At 43.9% G+C, this 16,320-nt stretch overlaps 2 protein-coding genes and 1 non-coding gene across 43 annotated transcripts in view; 1 reads left to right on the forward strand and 2 right to left on the reverse strand.

The window, feature by feature from the left end:
* Window positions 1–16,320, reverse strand: part of ZIM2 (zinc finger imprinted 2) — a 66,180-nt gene that overhangs the window by 35,170 nt on the left and 14,690 nt on the right. For 5 of the 15 annotated variants that reach the window (NR_163141.1, NR_163142.1, NM_001369774.1 and 2 more), the window contains 6 exons: window positions 14,546–14,711; window positions 13,874–13,963; window positions 13,037–13,120; window positions 11,935–12,038; window positions 8,884–8,986; window positions 8,030–8,122 (listed from right to left, as the gene is read on the reverse strand). Coding sequence is in view for 11 of the 15 variants with exons in the window: in NM_001369774.1 (NP_001356703.1) it covers window positions 8,030–8,122; window positions 8,884–8,986; window positions 11,935–12,038; window positions 13,037–13,120; window positions 13,874–13,963; window positions 14,546–14,561 (490 nt within the window). In the remaining 4 variants the exon portion in view is untranslated. Of the gene's footprint in view, window positions 1–8,029; window positions 8,123–8,883; window positions 8,987–11,934; window positions 12,039–13,036; window positions 13,121–13,873; window positions 13,964–14,545; window positions 15,026–16,320 lie in introns of all 15 variants that reach the window. The other 10 variants (NR_163140.1, NM_015363.5, NM_001146326.2 and 7 more) reach the window with 4 other exon arrangements.
* PEG3 (paternally expressed 3) overlaps window positions 366–16,320 on the reverse strand; it is a 30,645-nt gene continuing 14,690 nt past the window's right edge. For 12 of the 27 annotated variants that reach the window (NM_001369725.1, NM_001369722.1, NM_001369720.1 and 9 more), the window contains 7 exons: window positions 14,546–14,711; window positions 13,874–13,963; window positions 13,037–13,120; window positions 11,935–12,038; window positions 8,884–8,986; window positions 8,030–8,122; window positions 366–7,863 (listed from right to left, as the gene is read on the reverse strand). In NM_001369725.1, coding sequence (NP_001356654.1) covers window positions 3,959–7,863; window positions 8,030–8,122; window positions 8,884–8,986; window positions 11,935–12,038; window positions 13,037–13,120; window positions 13,874–13,963; window positions 14,546–14,561 — 4,395 coding nt within the window. In that variant the 5' untranslated portion in view covers window positions 14,562–14,711 and the 3' untranslated portion in view covers window positions 366–3,958. Of the gene's footprint in view, window positions 7,864–8,029; window positions 8,123–8,883; window positions 8,987–11,934; window positions 12,039–13,036; window positions 13,121–13,873; window positions 13,964–14,545; window positions 15,026–16,320 lie in introns of all 27 variants that reach the window. The other 15 variants (NM_001369737.1, NM_001369735.1, NM_001369734.1 and 12 more) reach the window with 8 other exon arrangements.
* Window positions 2,764–4,077, forward strand: PEG3-AS1 (PEG3 antisense RNA 1). Its single transcript, NR_023847.2, has one exon.

Consider the following 16,320-nt stretch of genomic DNA (forward strand, 5'->3'; position numbering starts at 1 on the left):
ATCAACACTTTTATGTTAAGGGTTTATTATTGTCTGTGATTTTTTATGTTTGAGACAATCTCACATTTCCAATTAAAAATGCCCACTCAAGTAACTAAGATGTACTTGCGGTCATTATCAACTTTAAAAAAATTGTTGGAACATATGTTTTAGTTTCATAAGGGCAGTTACAAATGTGAAATCAAACAGTATTTAAAAATCCCTTAGAAGTAATTGTTGAAATAGATAATACTTAAAAATAGAGTAAGATTTGCAAACCAAACTTTTTAGGCTAAAGGAGGAACTAAGCTTTTGGATTTATAACTCTAACAAAATAACATATTTAAAGCCCCAAAAACAAAACAGACAAAAGAGACTGAGAAATATTTATTTTTAACTTTATTTTTATTGTTGACACTATTACAGATAGAATGACCACAACCATATTAACAAACCAAAAACCTGTGCACAGAAACAAGATGAAGAAAATATATCAAGATGTTAACCACACTCTTTGGATGGTGAAAACATGGGTGAGTTTCTCTTCTACATTTCTGTAACTTCAAAGTTTCTATAATGAACACATTTCATATATAATGGAAATATATGTAGTAAAGGTGGACTACCAAAACACTAGAATGATGACCTTTCAAGGAAACCGAAACAAAATAACCATAATCCCACAACAACCACACAACTATTTCTTGTTTTTCATCTTTCTTCCCATCTTTGACATTTATGCATACTTATCACTAACACCCTAATAATCACAGACTAGTGCACAGATCAAGATGTTAACAGTTAATTGTTGTTGGGTGTTGGGAATATGTGTGAATTTTCTTTACTGAATTTCCAAAGTTTTGTATGAGTATGTATTATATTTGTAATGGAAAATACATACATAAAATTTATTACCAAAACACCAAAGATTATTTAAGGAATTTGAGACAAAATATTTAACCAAATTCCCACAATGACAACACTATTTTAGTTATTTTCCACATCTTTTCATTTAAGACTTTATGCACACATATTTAACACTGTTATCACAAGCGTGTGCACTGAAACAAGATAGAGGAAACAGATCAAGATGTTAGCAGTAGTTGTTAGGTGTTGGGAATATAGGTAATTTTTTAAAATAATTTACTTTATTTTCTAATTTTTCCTCTGGGTATGTATTATGCACACCAATGGAGACACACATAATACACTGTTATCAGGACATTATTATAGGGAACATTTGAAAAAATTAAAGTGAAAGTATTTAACCATAATTCCACAAAGGTAATGTAACAGCTATTTTGAATATACATTTTGACACAGTTATAATCATAAACCTGTGCACAGAAACAAGAATGAACAAGATAAGAGGAGAGTATATGTCTTTGGATGGTGGGGATATGATTTTTTTTCCTCCACTTTTCTGTATTTTCCAAGTGTGTGATAATGAGTTCAAATTATGTTCACAATGAAAATGTGATCATAAACTTTTTAGTAACACTACCATAAAGAACATTCAAGAAATTTAAGAAAATAATGCTCAACTATAAGCCTACAACAACAACACCACAACAGCTTTTGACTATAAGCATATATATTTTTAAACAGTTATAATGAACTGTTTAAATGAACTGTTAAATGAACAGCATATAAATGAACTGTTGAGTTATAACTGTAGTATAAATATACTTTCGTGTCCTGCTTTCTCCACTTAATGTTCTGTAAATATATTTCCACGTTGCTACATAACTCGTGATTATCATTTTTAAACAGTTGCATTAAGTGTCCACAGATAGGTTTAAACAATCATTCTCTTGTTTACCATTTGTTACTACCTTTTCACTAGCTGAAGGTTGGAACGGACACCCTGACTTACAGCAAGTTGCTTTCTGAAAAGGGGCTACCACTGCCAACAATGTTAACACCAAGTAATGTACCCACAAAGTTCACCCCGACATCAACACTGATTCTCGTTTCAAGAGTCCTTTTCCCATGTAGTAAACCTCACTGCCCCTCAGCTTTCCCGATGTCCGTTCCAACCTCAGTCCTTCCTATGCAGCCAGCCCTCACCTACACCATACCATCAAAAACTCCTTTTCCAAACTGCTCAGGACACCCCGCTCAATTCATTCTCAGAAACCTGGCCTTCTACAGTTCTTGCCTCTGGTGTTTTCTTCTGTCTGTCTCCTCTCCCCTCCTAGATCTGGTGATATATTAGGACTCCCTTCTTTGACTCACTCATTTCTGCTTCTTGCTCTCAGCTCTACAATCTTCCTAAACTTTGACACTCCCTGCATCTTTGACATACTTCCAAGCCCTAATCCTGCAGATCCAGAAGAGTAAGATTCAGACACATTTCCCCCAGTGGGTACTTTAATTTTGCTTGTTCAAATGATCTACACTTACATTTTGCAAATCTTTTTTTTTAAATTTTTTAAATTTTATATTTTTTTTCCAGCCAACTCAAGGCCAAAAAAAATTTCTTAATATAGTTATTATGCGAGGGGAGGGGAAGCAAAGGAGCACAGGTAGTCCACAGAATAGGACACAAGAAACCTCAAGCTGTGAGGTCAATTTGTAATTAAAAGAATACTAAGATTAGATGAACACAACACTCAGAAATACTCTAGGAGAGCTGAAAAAGAAGGAACAGATGTTAACAAAACAAATTAAGGCTGCTGGGGAACCTGAGTCCATGTTAAGCTTGGGTTGACTGTAAAGAATTTTTTTTTTTTTAATGCAAGTTAGACATGGAGTTAGAGGGTCAGATAAATAACGAAGAGAATTAAGTTAGCGATAGAAAGATCTAAGGATACTAGCTCCTGGGCACCTAGGGTGCAAACTGACTTGTGGCAGCATAAGCTGATGCTGCACAGGGGACCCAAGCCATGTTGCTACTTGTCACTTAAGGCAGGAAGCGCACAAAGGAAGTGATGAAAGGTTATTAGCCTGCAACATTATTTACAGCATGAGAGCCTCTCCTACGGTTCTCAACCTTCATTAGGCACTACTGTGATCTAGTGATGGTTGTAACCCATTCTTTAAAGGCAAAGATGTAAGATTTACAGGGAAAAGCTTCGGGTTTTATCAATTCACTATCATCAAACACATATTGAGTTGGTTAAAAAAAAAAAAAACCCAGAACACAAATGTGTAATATTTTTGCATGAGAACCACTTCAACAAACATAACATGTGGCAACCAATCAATCTGGGTCACAAAAAGCCAATCCGTATATTGTAAAGCCTTACACAGTATTAGGTTCCAAAGTGTTGGCGCAGATGAAATGGCTGCAGAAAGAAGCTAAAGTACTTATCTTTTCAAACAGTAAGGAGTAAAAGCCATGTTATCTATCATGCCTACAGCTTCACAAGACTATTTAAGGGTAAGAAACAAAACAATTACTCAAAAAGATATTGACAGGGTTCAAATAATGCACAATAAATCTTTCTCAGGATCTAAGACACTTAAAAATATAATCAAATTTGTTGCTCTCTTCCTCCTCCAAAAAAAAAAAAAATTCAAAGAATACCAGGTAAGGTACCTCTGCAGAGTAAACTGTAACTGTATATCATATAAATCCAAATATATGTGATCACTGTTCTGTCATAATTTGCTATTTTATATACACCTCATGAAACACTATATATACGTTACACAAGTGTCATTTACAGTTGATTTGGGCAAACTCTGTAGTCTGGAATACTCATAGGGTTTTCTCAATCTGATTACTTGGAAAGGTAAGATGTGTGCTATGGCTTTCCCACATGCAGACACTGACATCTGAAGGGGAAAGCTTAAGACTGTGGAATCTGCACATTCGGTCTCTTTTCAATCTGAGTTTAGAGATGTTAAGTCAGGTGTGTAACACACTAAGGTTAAGTCTCCTACTGACATTATCATGGATTGGTTTGGATTCTCTGTGGTTTGGTAAGGGTCAAGTCCTAGGTGAAGGTTTTCTAACCTTTACCCCATGCCCTCAGCCAGTGTGGGTATTCTGGTGTCTGGCGAGGGACAGGCGGTCATTGAAGAGCTGCCCACAGACGTCACATTTGAAGTACTTCTCATCAGCTTGATTGGCACCACCTGTGCTGGTGCTGGCACGTTCGATGTAGCCTGAGCACTCCCCAAAGGCATTTGCAGGCTCAAATATGATCATGCTGGCATGAGTTTTCAGGTGTTCACTGAATGCTGTGCTGGAAGTGAAGGTTTCTGTGCATTCATGGCAGTCATAGTATGGTTCTTCTACCTGAATCTCTTGATCTTCACCTTCTTCTGGGTCTTCAATTCCCACACCGTCAGGCTCGTCGGCATCTCCCTCTGGCTCTTCAGCTTTTCCCTCTGGCTCTTCAGCTCTTTCTTCTGGGTCTTCAATACCTGCACCATCTGGCTCATCAGCATCCCCATTTGGCTGCTCGGCCTCTCCATTTGGCTGTCCAGCCTCTCCAATGGGCTCTGCAGCCTCTCCATCTGGCCCTTCAGCCTCTCCGTTTGGCTCAGCAGCCTCCACTTCTGGCTCAGCAGCCTCCACTTCTGGCTCGGCAGCCTCCACTTCTGGCTCAGCAGCCTCTACGTTTAAGCCCTGAATCCTCAGAACTACTTGTGGAACATGGACATTGGCTTCAACTTCCTGGGCTGCTGCTGCTGCAGCTGCTGCTGCTTCATCTTCTTCTTCTTCTTCCAGATGAAGCTCCTTATGTTTAGTGAGGACTGTGCTATGAATAAAGGACTTACCACAATCCTTGCATTCATAGAATGGTATAGCTCCTTTGAGGGGCTCAGTAAGAAATGAGGTGTGAGTATAGGAGGACCCGTACTCATAGGGCTCATTCTTATGAACAGTTACGTGATCTGCAAGTTCTGCTGGGTTGACGAAAGATTCTCCACAGACTGCACATTCAAAGAGTCTCTCTTCGGTCTGACTTCTCTGAAACTCAGTGAGGGCTAAGCCTGGAATGATAGCTTCCTCAGCCATCTGGCTCTGCTCCAGTAAATCATCTTCCCTATGAAGTCTCATATGCTCATTAAGGGCAGAGCTATGAATGAAGCCTTGTCCACACAAAAGGCATCGAATGGCCGACCCAGCAAGAGCAGGATTCCTCTCTGCAGCACGATTCCTCCGTGGCTTCATGGGCAAGAGGGCAATAAAACCATCATCACACCCCTTCATGGAATACAACTGGTCTTGTTCATGGATTCTCTGATGCTCGAAAAGGAATGAGCTATGAATAAAAGATTCCCCACACTTTGGACATTCATACAGCTGCTCTCCAGTGTAATCTCTCTGATACTCGCTGATGGAATGGGTGTGAATTACAGAATGTGTGTACTCCCGACTGTCAACCAGGCACTTCCTGCTGTGGACTTTCTGATGGTCTGTGAGGTCTGTGAGATCCACAAAGCCCAGGCCACAGTCCTCACATTCATAGATTTTGTCATCAGGGTCATCCTTCTGAGGGTCTTCCATGTCTGAGCCTTGAATGACAGGGTCTTCAATTGTCTCCTGACCATGGGTCTCCTCGCTGTGGGTCTCCTCCCCATCAGTATTCTCGCCTTGAGACTCCTCGCCATGAGACTTCTCTTGGTCATAGATTTTCTGGTTTGTGTTGAGGTCTTCGCTGGTAGCAAAAAATTGTCTGAAGTCCTTACATTTGTTCCGCGCTTGCTCTTTAGCATACTGCTCTTGGGCGTAACTTGTTTGAGGGTCAGTAGGGGCCAAGCTGCGAATGACAGACCATTCATAGTTTCTGCTTCCAGAGGGCTTCTCCCTATCATGAATCTTCTGGTGCTCAGTGAGGTCAGAGCTATGAGCAAAGCACTCCCCACACTCCTGACATTCATAGAGCATCCCTCGAGGGCGAAATGTTTGTTCACCAAAAGGCAGAGAGTGAATTACAGAGGTCTCATTGCTCCTATGCTCAATGTATTTCTTTTTAGCACGAGCCTTCTGGTATTCACGGACATTTGAGCTGGGAACAGAGAATTCGCCATCCTTCTTAAACTCACCAGATCCCTCTCCAGGAACACTTTTCTGAGGTTTGGCACGGAATACACTCTGTATGACAGAGTCTTCATAGTTGCGATTCTTACTGCCCCCTTCACAAGGGTTCTCTCTGGCAGGAATCTTCTGTCGCTTATCATTAAGGTCTGAGATATAAATGGAGGATTCTCCCTTCTCATTAGATTCCACCAATTCATTTCCATTGTGACTTCTTGGAGGTTTGGAAGCCACTAAGCTATGGATAACAGACCTACTGTATTCCCTTCCTTCAGAGGTGTTCCCTCCAGCACGAACTCTCTGATGGTTGATAGCATCGAAGCTCTGAATGGTAGACTCTGCCATTACTTTTGGTTTACTGGGCCCTGCTACACTGTGACTTTTCTGAGCTTCCACAGAGGCTAAGCTATGAATAACAGACCTCTCATATGATTTTGCCTCATAGACATTTTCCTTAGTGGGAATCTTCTGGTTTTCATAGGGGTTAGAGCTAATGGTGAACGCCTTTTCGTCCTCATCACTTTCAAGAGGTCTTGTTATAGTATGACTCTTCTGAGATTCAGTGAATGGCCCACTATGAATGACAGATTTCTCATACCCTCTGCCTTCAAAGAGGTTCTTTCGAGAATGAATTTTCTGATGCTCACTGAGCTCTGAGCTTTGCATGAAGGCATCCCGGCCATCTGTAAAGTCACAGAGCTTCTCCTTATTGTAAGTTTTCTGACGCCTTTTAAGGGACTGACCAGGAATAAAGGTTTCCTCACACACTTTACCCTTGTTTTCAAATGGGTTCCCTCTAGTATGGATTTTCTGATGTTCTTTCAGGGATGAGCTATGAAGGAAAGTCTCCCCACACACCTTACATTCGTACATTTTCTCTTTACCATACATTTTCTGAAACTCATTAAGGGCTGGGCTGGGCCTAAAGGTTTCCCCGCGCTCACGTTCACGTTCACGTTCATGTTCACGCTCATTATCTTTGTCATCCCCAAAGTGGATTTTCTGGTGCTCAATCAGGGCAGAACTATGAAGGAAGGTTTCCTTACACACCCTGCACTCGTAGAATTTGTCTTTGCCATATATTTTCTGAAGCTCACTAAAGGTGGGGCTAGGCATGAAGGCTTCCTCACATTCCTGATTCTTACATTCCACAAGATAACCTCTAGCATGAATCTTCCGATGTTCAGCCAAGGCGGCACTCTTATTGAAGGTCTCTCCACAGTCCTTACATTCAAAACGTTTCCCTCCAACCTGACTTTTCTGAACTTCACTGACAGCCACACTGTGGATAAAGGACTCACCATACTCATAGAGGTTCTCTCTAGTATGCATGATCTGGTGCTCAACAAATTCTGAGATGACACTGAACGACCTCCCACACTCATCACATACATATGGCATTGCCCCAAAATCAATTGGCTGTGACTCGGTAAAGGAGGGGGAGCTGAGGCTGCTCAGGCTGCTCACGCTCATGGCTTTTCTCATCTCACTACCACATTCAAAGGGCTTCTTCCTGGGACAGCCTTTTTGATCGTGAATCGAGCCCTTCCCATCTGTGTCAAAATGATAGCGCCTCTTTCTTTCAAGAACTCTCTTTCTGGAAACAAGGGTTGAATTAAACCTAAAGCCTCCCCTAAATGCATTCCCTTCATAAACCCGCTGCTGGATCACTGACTCCCTCTTGTTCAATGAAATGTCCTTCCAGTTATCATCTGACATTCTGGGGAATCTCTGTGACCGGTCGCTTGACTCCCTTGCTCTTCCCGATTTGGAACTGCGTGACACATCCTTGATGAATTTTTCCATTATCACTCCGTGGGAAGATTCATCTTCACAAATCCCCCGCCGGTGGGTTGATTTTTTGGCTTCAGGCATAGTTTTTAGACCTGGAAAGAAACCCCAAATGTAAATACTCCCTAGTCCCCATAAGAAGGACAGTGGGACTTGGAGGGGTGCACCCTTCTGTGATGTTTAGGAATGCAAAGTGTAGAAGTTCCTTGATAGCATCTCACTGGTTGTGTGGCTCCTCTGTGGGATGTGCCTCCTGCTTACCTCGACTGGTGCTTGGGTAGGCACTTCTCTTGGATCTTGATGAGTGGCCCTGCGTCATGTGGGAGTGGCCATCGTCTTCAGCAAGCTGCACTCCTGGTCACAAGGACAATATGATGCCTCAAATTCAAGTTGAGGACCAAGACTCATCACCATAAATTGATCTTCATCTTTCACTGAGCCACTAAATATGAGGTGGCCCACATCTGATTCCTTGGATGTCAGAAGACATTTGCTGTCTCATTTCCCTACTATCTATTCCCTAATCCATTCTAATCTACATGTAATTCTTCTGACTCCACTCAGAAATGTGTACAAAGACCCCACATGTCCCTGAAATCAGTGCATTGTCTTTTAGTCTTCACCTTCTTGTAACCACTTTTTAAGTCCTCTTTTCCACTGGCCTTCTTCCTCTTACCTCGCGACTGCTCTTCCTCCACCCACTCCCTTGAGGCCCCATGGCCTTACAGACCTGCAGCACAGCCAACTGCCCACTACCAACTTGGGCTAGATGTCTTCCAGGAAAGTCCACATGGGAACTCAGGATCCCATCCTGAATGTCTACTTAAAAACCTCCAGTGCTACCACTCTGGAAAAAAGTATCAACTCTTGTGGCAAGAAGCATCTCCCTGCTTGTCCCCACCCTGTACAATGTATCTTTACCCAAAGCCAGAGGCATTTCTTAAAAACACAAATTTTATCATTTACTCCCTCATTTGAAATCTTTCAAAGATTTCTTATTACCCTTGAAGTCCAAATATATTAATGTGGACTCTAACATCCAGCTTAAAAAGGAGCAAGATGACAAAATGCTCCAATGACTGGACTGGGAGTGACTGAGAGAAGCAGCTGCTTACCGAGGGAGAGCAGCTTCCTGTAGTTTTCCATGTTGTCCTGGATTGTGTTGTGAGGTTTCCTGTCCTCAGCGAGGTCCACCACATTTTGGTATGATTCAGCATCCTAAAACAGCAAACACAGACCTCTCAATGGAGTCTGTCCCCACCGATGTTCAAAGACAGAATAATGTTGGCAACATGGGAGTTACATATATGAAGTTATATAGGAAGTGCTCACGGTATTGGGGTTCTGAGTGATCCAAGTCAAGTGTTACTAGGGACCTACGTCGTACCTACCTTGGTGCTACACTCTGAGGCAGATCCCAAAGACGCATGACACATATTCCTTGCCCTCATGCAGCTTATAATTTGGTTGGAGAGAAAAGACTCATGAAACAATTAGAGAACAATAAACAATAAATCGGGGTACAGATAGTAAGTGCTAAACGGGTTTTGTAGAGGGACAGTTCAGGGTGGGCCTGAACAGTGTGCAAAGGTTTGTGGAGGGCAGGTGGGGCCTTAAGTGGTAAGTGAGATTATGACACATATAGAAAGGGATTGGTGGGAAAACTTAGACTAAATATCAAACAGGCACGGAGTACTCAGGGAACAGAAAGAAGACACACACATTCAGGAAGACATCTGGTCAGGATGTGACTTAAACCTCCCTCCCGGTTTCTCCATGGCATAGCATGGCTACATTGAGGGAGTCTCCAGTTTGCACAATTTCCAAATCACCCAGGAATAACTGTAAGCCCTGAGGGCATTTTTATAATTGCCTTTTCTGTCTTAATGGATATTTACCTAAAAAGGAATTTTAAAATTCCTCACATTACTGAGGAGAACCTTCTACCAGGATTCTAAAGGACCTTTGCTTATTGCCAGAGGGCTGACTAGAACTGGTTTCAGGGAGTCATGGTCCCAGGAAGAATGGCACTGAGGCTGGAGAGAGACTTGAGGAGGGAGATGGTGCTGTGGGAAGCCCACAGGCTTTGGAGCTGGACAGAGATCTGGGTCAAAGAAGGATTGCACCAATTATGAGCTATGCAGCCTTGGGAACGGAAATCTTTTTGAACCTTTCTTTCAGGTTCTTCACCTGTAAAATGGGGAGAAGAGTATCTATCTGCTTTGCAATACTGTGGGTGAGGATTTTCTGCAGTGTGATGTCTTGCTTAAATATTAAGAAAATTATGTAAAGGAAATACAAATGTCTTGATATTAAATCTACCATAGTTCTATTGCTGGGAAGAGGCATGGAGCAACATGAAAAATGTAGCAAAAAAAAGAGGACTTGCTGAGTAAGCAAAGACAAAGAGGTACGGGTATCTGGGTTTAAGAGGGAAGCCTTATCCATGAACTGCCTGTGTCCTGCCACAAAAAAGCAGAAACAACAACAAAAACTAAGTAGGGCAAGGAAACACAGCAGAGCTTCACAGATAAAATTCTTTTTTCACATGAAAGAAAAAGCACGCTTTGATTGAAAATTAAAATCTAGGCCAGTGGGCAGCCCTAAATTGGTTGTTCGCTTTGTGTTTGTAATCAACAATGACATCTTAATGCATACAAACTGCAATCAAGTTCAATGGAAGAGATGCTGTTCTGAAAACAATGCTAGTATGGCTCAATGTAGTTTTCACAACATGATCTATACATGTGAACAATTAAGAAATTTACACATGAAGCTAAAAGATGAGAGAATTTTCTGTTGTGTACACCTTCAAAATGTAATTTGTGTCATTTGCTGCTGGTGTTACCACCATACTGAGTCAGTAGGAATCAGTAGCTTCCAGACTTTTAATTATGCAGACATGGGGCTCGGATGCCAATTCTTCACACATTGTCAAGGAAGGGCATTTAAAAAGCAAAACAAGACAAAGCCCAACTACCAAGACACCAGTGGCCAGGCCCACACATGCCTCCAGCCTTCTTCCTATATCCCAGCCACCTGGCCCTTGGTTTGGTTCCCATCCCACAACTTTAGCTGAGCTCTCCCTAATGCCTGGGGTCCCCTCCCCCAACACCTGACCCGGCGTGCTCCTGGCTCTAAATGGCAACTGTTAATGCCTCCAAGACATTTCCCTTCAATCCAAATCAAGGCCCTTGTTACAATTTCTTGTTAACTCTCTATTTTTCCTTGAGGACACTGAGAATGATGAGCAGTTATATACAACATTTGTGTCAATACTTATTTGTGCAACTGTCAAAAGCTTCTCAGGGCAGGGCCCCTCTCTGTGTTGCTCACTGCTGTGCCCCCCAGGGCCTAGGCCTGCTTTCTGACATGGGATGGGTACTGATATGTGAAGGAAAGGAAGGCTCAGCCCAATGGCTTCTCCCTTCTTTGAGTCCAGTCAGTGCTGGGGTCCTCCTCCACACTCCACCATGTATAAGTGACCCCTCTCCTCCTTCCTAAAAAACAAGCTCAAGTTCCACATTTTTTTTCCCTTCATGAATCTCCCCGGCACATGCTGCCTCTTAAACCACAACTGCCATAATTGTTAACATTTAACGGTGTGCCTACCATGTGCCAGGTACTTTATGTATGTGTGTGAGTGACTTTTCACAGCAGCCCTGGGAGCAATCACCATATTCATTTTACAGATGAGGAAACTTAAATTCAGCTTATGAGTAAATGGCCCAAGGCCACACAGCTAGCAAGTGGCAGAGCCAGGCTTTAAACCCAGCTCCTGTCAGCTCCAGAGCCTTTGTGCTCCCTGGCCAGTCTACTCTGCAGACCCACAGCTTTCCTGGCTCCCTCCTGAGGACCAGAAACATCTCCAGAGTCACTCTGCTTCCCTGGCCCTGTAGGGAACGGCCAATGTGACCAACCTACCAAGTGACACACATGCTGAGGGGGCAGGAGCTCCTCTGACCACATGAACGACAAAGAAACAGCCAGCAGCAACCTGGGCTACTTGTCACCTAAGGGATGGGCCCGGGCTCCTCCTGGAGCGCTGGGACTCTCACCCCAGCTGGACTCTAGGGGGCAGATAAACACACCATCTGGGGAAAGAAAGGCGTCTCTGCCATGAAATGAAGATGGCCTTTCTAGAAAGAGAGGAAACCTGAGCATACCTGAGATCGGGACTCATAAGCCCTGGAGTCCCTGTCGTCCTCTCTGTCCATTTCAAAGCTTGTTTTCGCCACCACAGGAAGGGAAAGATCCCGCGGAGGCATCCCTGGGAAGAAAAAAGGCATCAACAAGAAGCAGGGCCCAGTCCATCCTGCAGGTCCCAGGTTTGTCCCACTCAACTATGAAGCCAGCTGGGGTGTGAGTGTATGAGAGCAAGTGCCTTTCTCTTCTCTGCATTCTGTGGCAGCCTCTGAGGAGTCCCATAAAACCAGTGGCCCTACAACAACCCAGACCCAGGGCAGGGCCAGGGGCCCTGCCTCATCCTTCTGCTCCCAGTCTCGGAGGTGGTTCAGATTGTGCCCAAGCTGTGTGGGTCCAGGTACAGTGTCCACTAGCCTCATCCTTCGGGCACAACCTCTGGGTCTCCCCAGCTGCAATGTGTGACAGGGAGATGGCATCAGAGACCGTCCCACAGGGTCATGGCTCTGAACAATGCCTATTGTGTTGTGAACCGTCACTAAATGTCACTCACTCCTGATATCCTTCTCCTGATCAATTTTAGGGTGCCCTGCTGCCCACAGCAGTGTTCTCCAAGTCCAGGAAGAAGAGGAAATGATTTCCAGCAGTATGGACACCAACAATACACTGGTGTGATGATTGATTCCCTTCCAAATCTCAGGCCTGGTGCTCAGATGTGGCACTTCCCTAACACTGCAGGAAGTCATGGCAGACATTCCTAGTTAACAATATTGTTACAATGTGTTTTTCATTCTCGCCTTCTGCCTATGGCACTTCATACTAGTTTTCAATTTTTGCAGTGGCATAGTCTTTCATACAGAAACTTCCAGTTTTTTTTTTTTTAATGCACCAGCTTAAGAATACTGAGCAAATAGTTTAGGTGGCAACAGGTCTATGTGGTGAAACCTGTGCTGGTGGTACCGAGTGGAACTTCAAAAATACGAGCCTTGGACTAAACTTTTGGGGAAGCGGAATATACTCCAAATGGAGCAGCAGAAACTTCGAGGCCCTGGCACTTTCCCCTTGAACCTGTGCACAGCACATGCTCTATATCTCCTACTGGGAAAGAAAGTGGTTAAGACTCACTGCTTCTTGGGTTCCTGGTGTGGGACCAGCGGTCTCGTGGCTCCATGTCTCTGCTTCTGCCCCTCCGGTCCCAGTCCCGGTCACCTAAGCAGGTGAGACATTCCAGTGGTTAACAAAGCTCTTTGACACACCTGTTTTCCCTGCATGTGCACAAACACCCCTCTGGAAAGAGATGCTACCCTCTTCCCACAAGGAGATGGATCCAAAACAGAGAGCTCCAGGTTCCCAGGCTCATCTGGCCCCTTCTTTATCATATACCCGCAACATGGTTTCTGCAGGCTTTGCCCAAGTGGGGCTTGCTTCCAAGCAAGTTCCAAAGCTCAGTCCAGTAGCTAACCCCCACTTCAGACTCTTTGCTGGCTTCCCAGTTCCTAAGGGGCTGAGTCCACATTCAGGAGAATGGACTGCAGACCCCCTACTGTCTGGCAGCCGATCTTAAAGTACACGTTATTCTACTACAAAAAAAACAAAACCCAAGAAAACAACACACACACCCTCCCTGAAAGCAGTGCTCCCTATAAAAGCTCACTGAAGCATCTTTAATGAACCTTCCTGAGGAGGCTGGGGGTACAGCTGGAAGCAGCCTGTTGCAAATTCCAAATAGCTTTATATACTTTATCGTTGAATAAAACGGTATTAAGTATTTAAGGTGTCTGTTTAGATATAAAAATGTCTCATTATGACATCAATTAATTTACCCTCTCCTCAGATCTCTGAGTGAAGCTGACCACTCGGGGATGGCGGGTCATCTTCATGGAGGCCCCAACCCACTGTGTCTCCATCTGGAAGCATCTGGCAGCGCCTGCCCATGGGTGACCAGTGGGGATGGGTACTCACCACTGAAAGAATGGACTGAGTGAGGTGGTGAGGACTCTCTTCTGTTCCGGGTCATGTCGTCGTCGCTGGTCACGTCACTGTTGTTGTCGTCTAAGAGGACACCGGTCGCCAAGTTACTATCTCTGGCCCACATTCTCACAATAGTTCCCCCCAATCCCTGAGCCGCATCTCCCTGTCACAGACACACATGGTTGGAATGACCTGATCCTGACATTTCTGAGTTCAAAACCCTTCAGCGGCTTCCAACCACTCCTGGCATACTAAAAACTGGGTGGGGGGAGCATGGTGGCTGTGACCACCCCGACCTCACCCCCAGACACAAACAGCCAGAAGGCAACCTCCTAGCACACCACACCAAAAAGGCAGGAGCCATAGGAGGTTTTCTCCCTTCTACAGAAGTGTCTCCTTTCCCTCTCCTGACTCAGGATGGTGGTTCTGCACTAGGGAGGTTTTGGCGACCAGGGGATACCTGGGCATGTGTGGAGACACTTTTGGTGGCCACACCCAGAAAATCATGATGCAGCTCAATATCCCACAGTACACAGGACATCCCCACCGCTGCCCAGGACAGAGAGTTATCCAGTCCAGACCATGTCAGAAGTGTGGAGGCTGAGAGCCCCAGGGGACACCTGAGGCCTGCACTGACCACCAACACCCCGTGGAGACTCTCACCTTCTGGTTGGTACATCTCCTTGTAATTCTCCAGCAGAGTGACGAGCTTCTCACAGTTCTCCGGCTTTTTTGCTCGCACCCAAGGCTTGAGCTTTTCAGGGATGATGGTCAGGTACTGCTCAAGGACCAAGAGCTCGATGATCTCCTCCTTGGTGCGGGTCTCCGGCTGCAACCAATCGAGGCAGAGGTTTCGGAGTTTGATCAGGGTCTTCCGAGGCCCAACAAATTCCACATAGATTAGGTTCCGAAACCTCTGATGAAAAAACTCAGAGTCAGTTGGACCTTCTCCTATGATGACATCCGGCTCCTTAGTCAAGTCACTGTCTAGCTCATACAGATTTGGGGCCCAGGACTTCTTAGGTTTGGTGGCAGACAAGTGCTTTGGAGGCAGCATTTCTCTAAGTAAAATTTTCACTGGAGGAACCAAACATGAGTCAACAGGAAAGACGCGGCAGCCTGTGACCGTCAGTACTCAGGGACCTGTGGATCGTAAGGAGATATACACATGTCCCAGAAGTTGAAGACCAGGCAGCAGTGGAGGCCACCTTACCAGAGGCATCGACAATGCTTTTGGGATATGGGAGTCCCCAGTAAATAGGCAAACAACCGCACAAAGTTGGCCTCAGCACAGCAGTTACAAGCATGACCTCTGGGCTTCACAGAGACCTACTCGAGGAGTTAGCTCGGCTACTAACTTGGGCTACTAACTTGGGACTGTGGGCAACTTGTCTAATGCCCTAGAAGTCTCTCTGTAATCTGAGAAATAAGAATAACAGCACCTCCATCCCTTTCAGAATTGTGAAGCTTAAATAAACTAAGATACCTAAAAAGACTTAACTGCCCAATGCAAGGCACAAGAGAAATGTTCAAGGCCCTAGCCAGTACTAAAATCAGACGTCAGCACGTTTATTAGCAAAAATGAAAAGGGGAAGTAGGAGTTGGGGCAAATCCTCCCCTAACATTTCTTCCCTTAACACAATTATTAAAACACAGTATACAACATGTAAAAAATGGAAGACCATTCAAAAATATTAAAAGTACTCAACTCTAGGTAATATGACATTATTCCCTCACACAGTGAGAAGTGACCATTGAGCCTCTTGATGCTACTGCACGTTCTTTTGCCTTCATCAATCTTGACAAAGGTCTAATCTGTCTAAAAGAACCGGCTTTCTGTTTTGACATTCCTTTCTTACTGTTTCTTTACTTAGTTCATTTATTTCCTTCTCTTTATTTTATTATCTGCCCCCTTCCATTTTTTAAACTTTTGAGATTGGACATAAATGTAAAGATTTTCAATCTCTCCTTTTTTTTATGTAACCAAGTAAAGCTATACATTTCCTTAAAGCATTTTTGCTATTATTTGCATTTTATTGCGTATTTTAATGACTGGTCAGCACATCTGGTGCAACTAAGTAAGGCAATATGGGAAAGAAATCTAGGTCTGGGAGCATAAACTACCTACTGGCTTTACTTCCAGAGAAGAAAAAAAACCATATGCAACAGAAATTTTCTCCCTTTGTTTTAAAAGGAAAGCAAGTTTAAATTTTTTAATTTGGAAAAAGTCTAAAGGAAAACTGAAGGTGTTTCCATTATTCAGAGTCTCTCATTAGACATTATCACTTGCAAATCAATGTGGTAATCACGGTAAACTCATGTTTACTCGTCTCAGTGATGGGCTCCCACTTCCCTCCCTATGCAAACTGCCCTCCCACGCTCTCTCCTGCATATTATCATCCCATGGAGCTTGGGCACCATCCAATGCAAATGCCTCG

Source organism: Homo sapiens, chromosome 19 (genome assembly GCF_000001405.40).
Source record: "Homo sapiens chromosome 19, GRCh38.p14 Primary Assembly".
Taxonomy (NCBI): domain Eukaryota; kingdom Metazoa; phylum Chordata; class Mammalia; order Primates; family Hominidae; genus Homo; species Homo sapiens.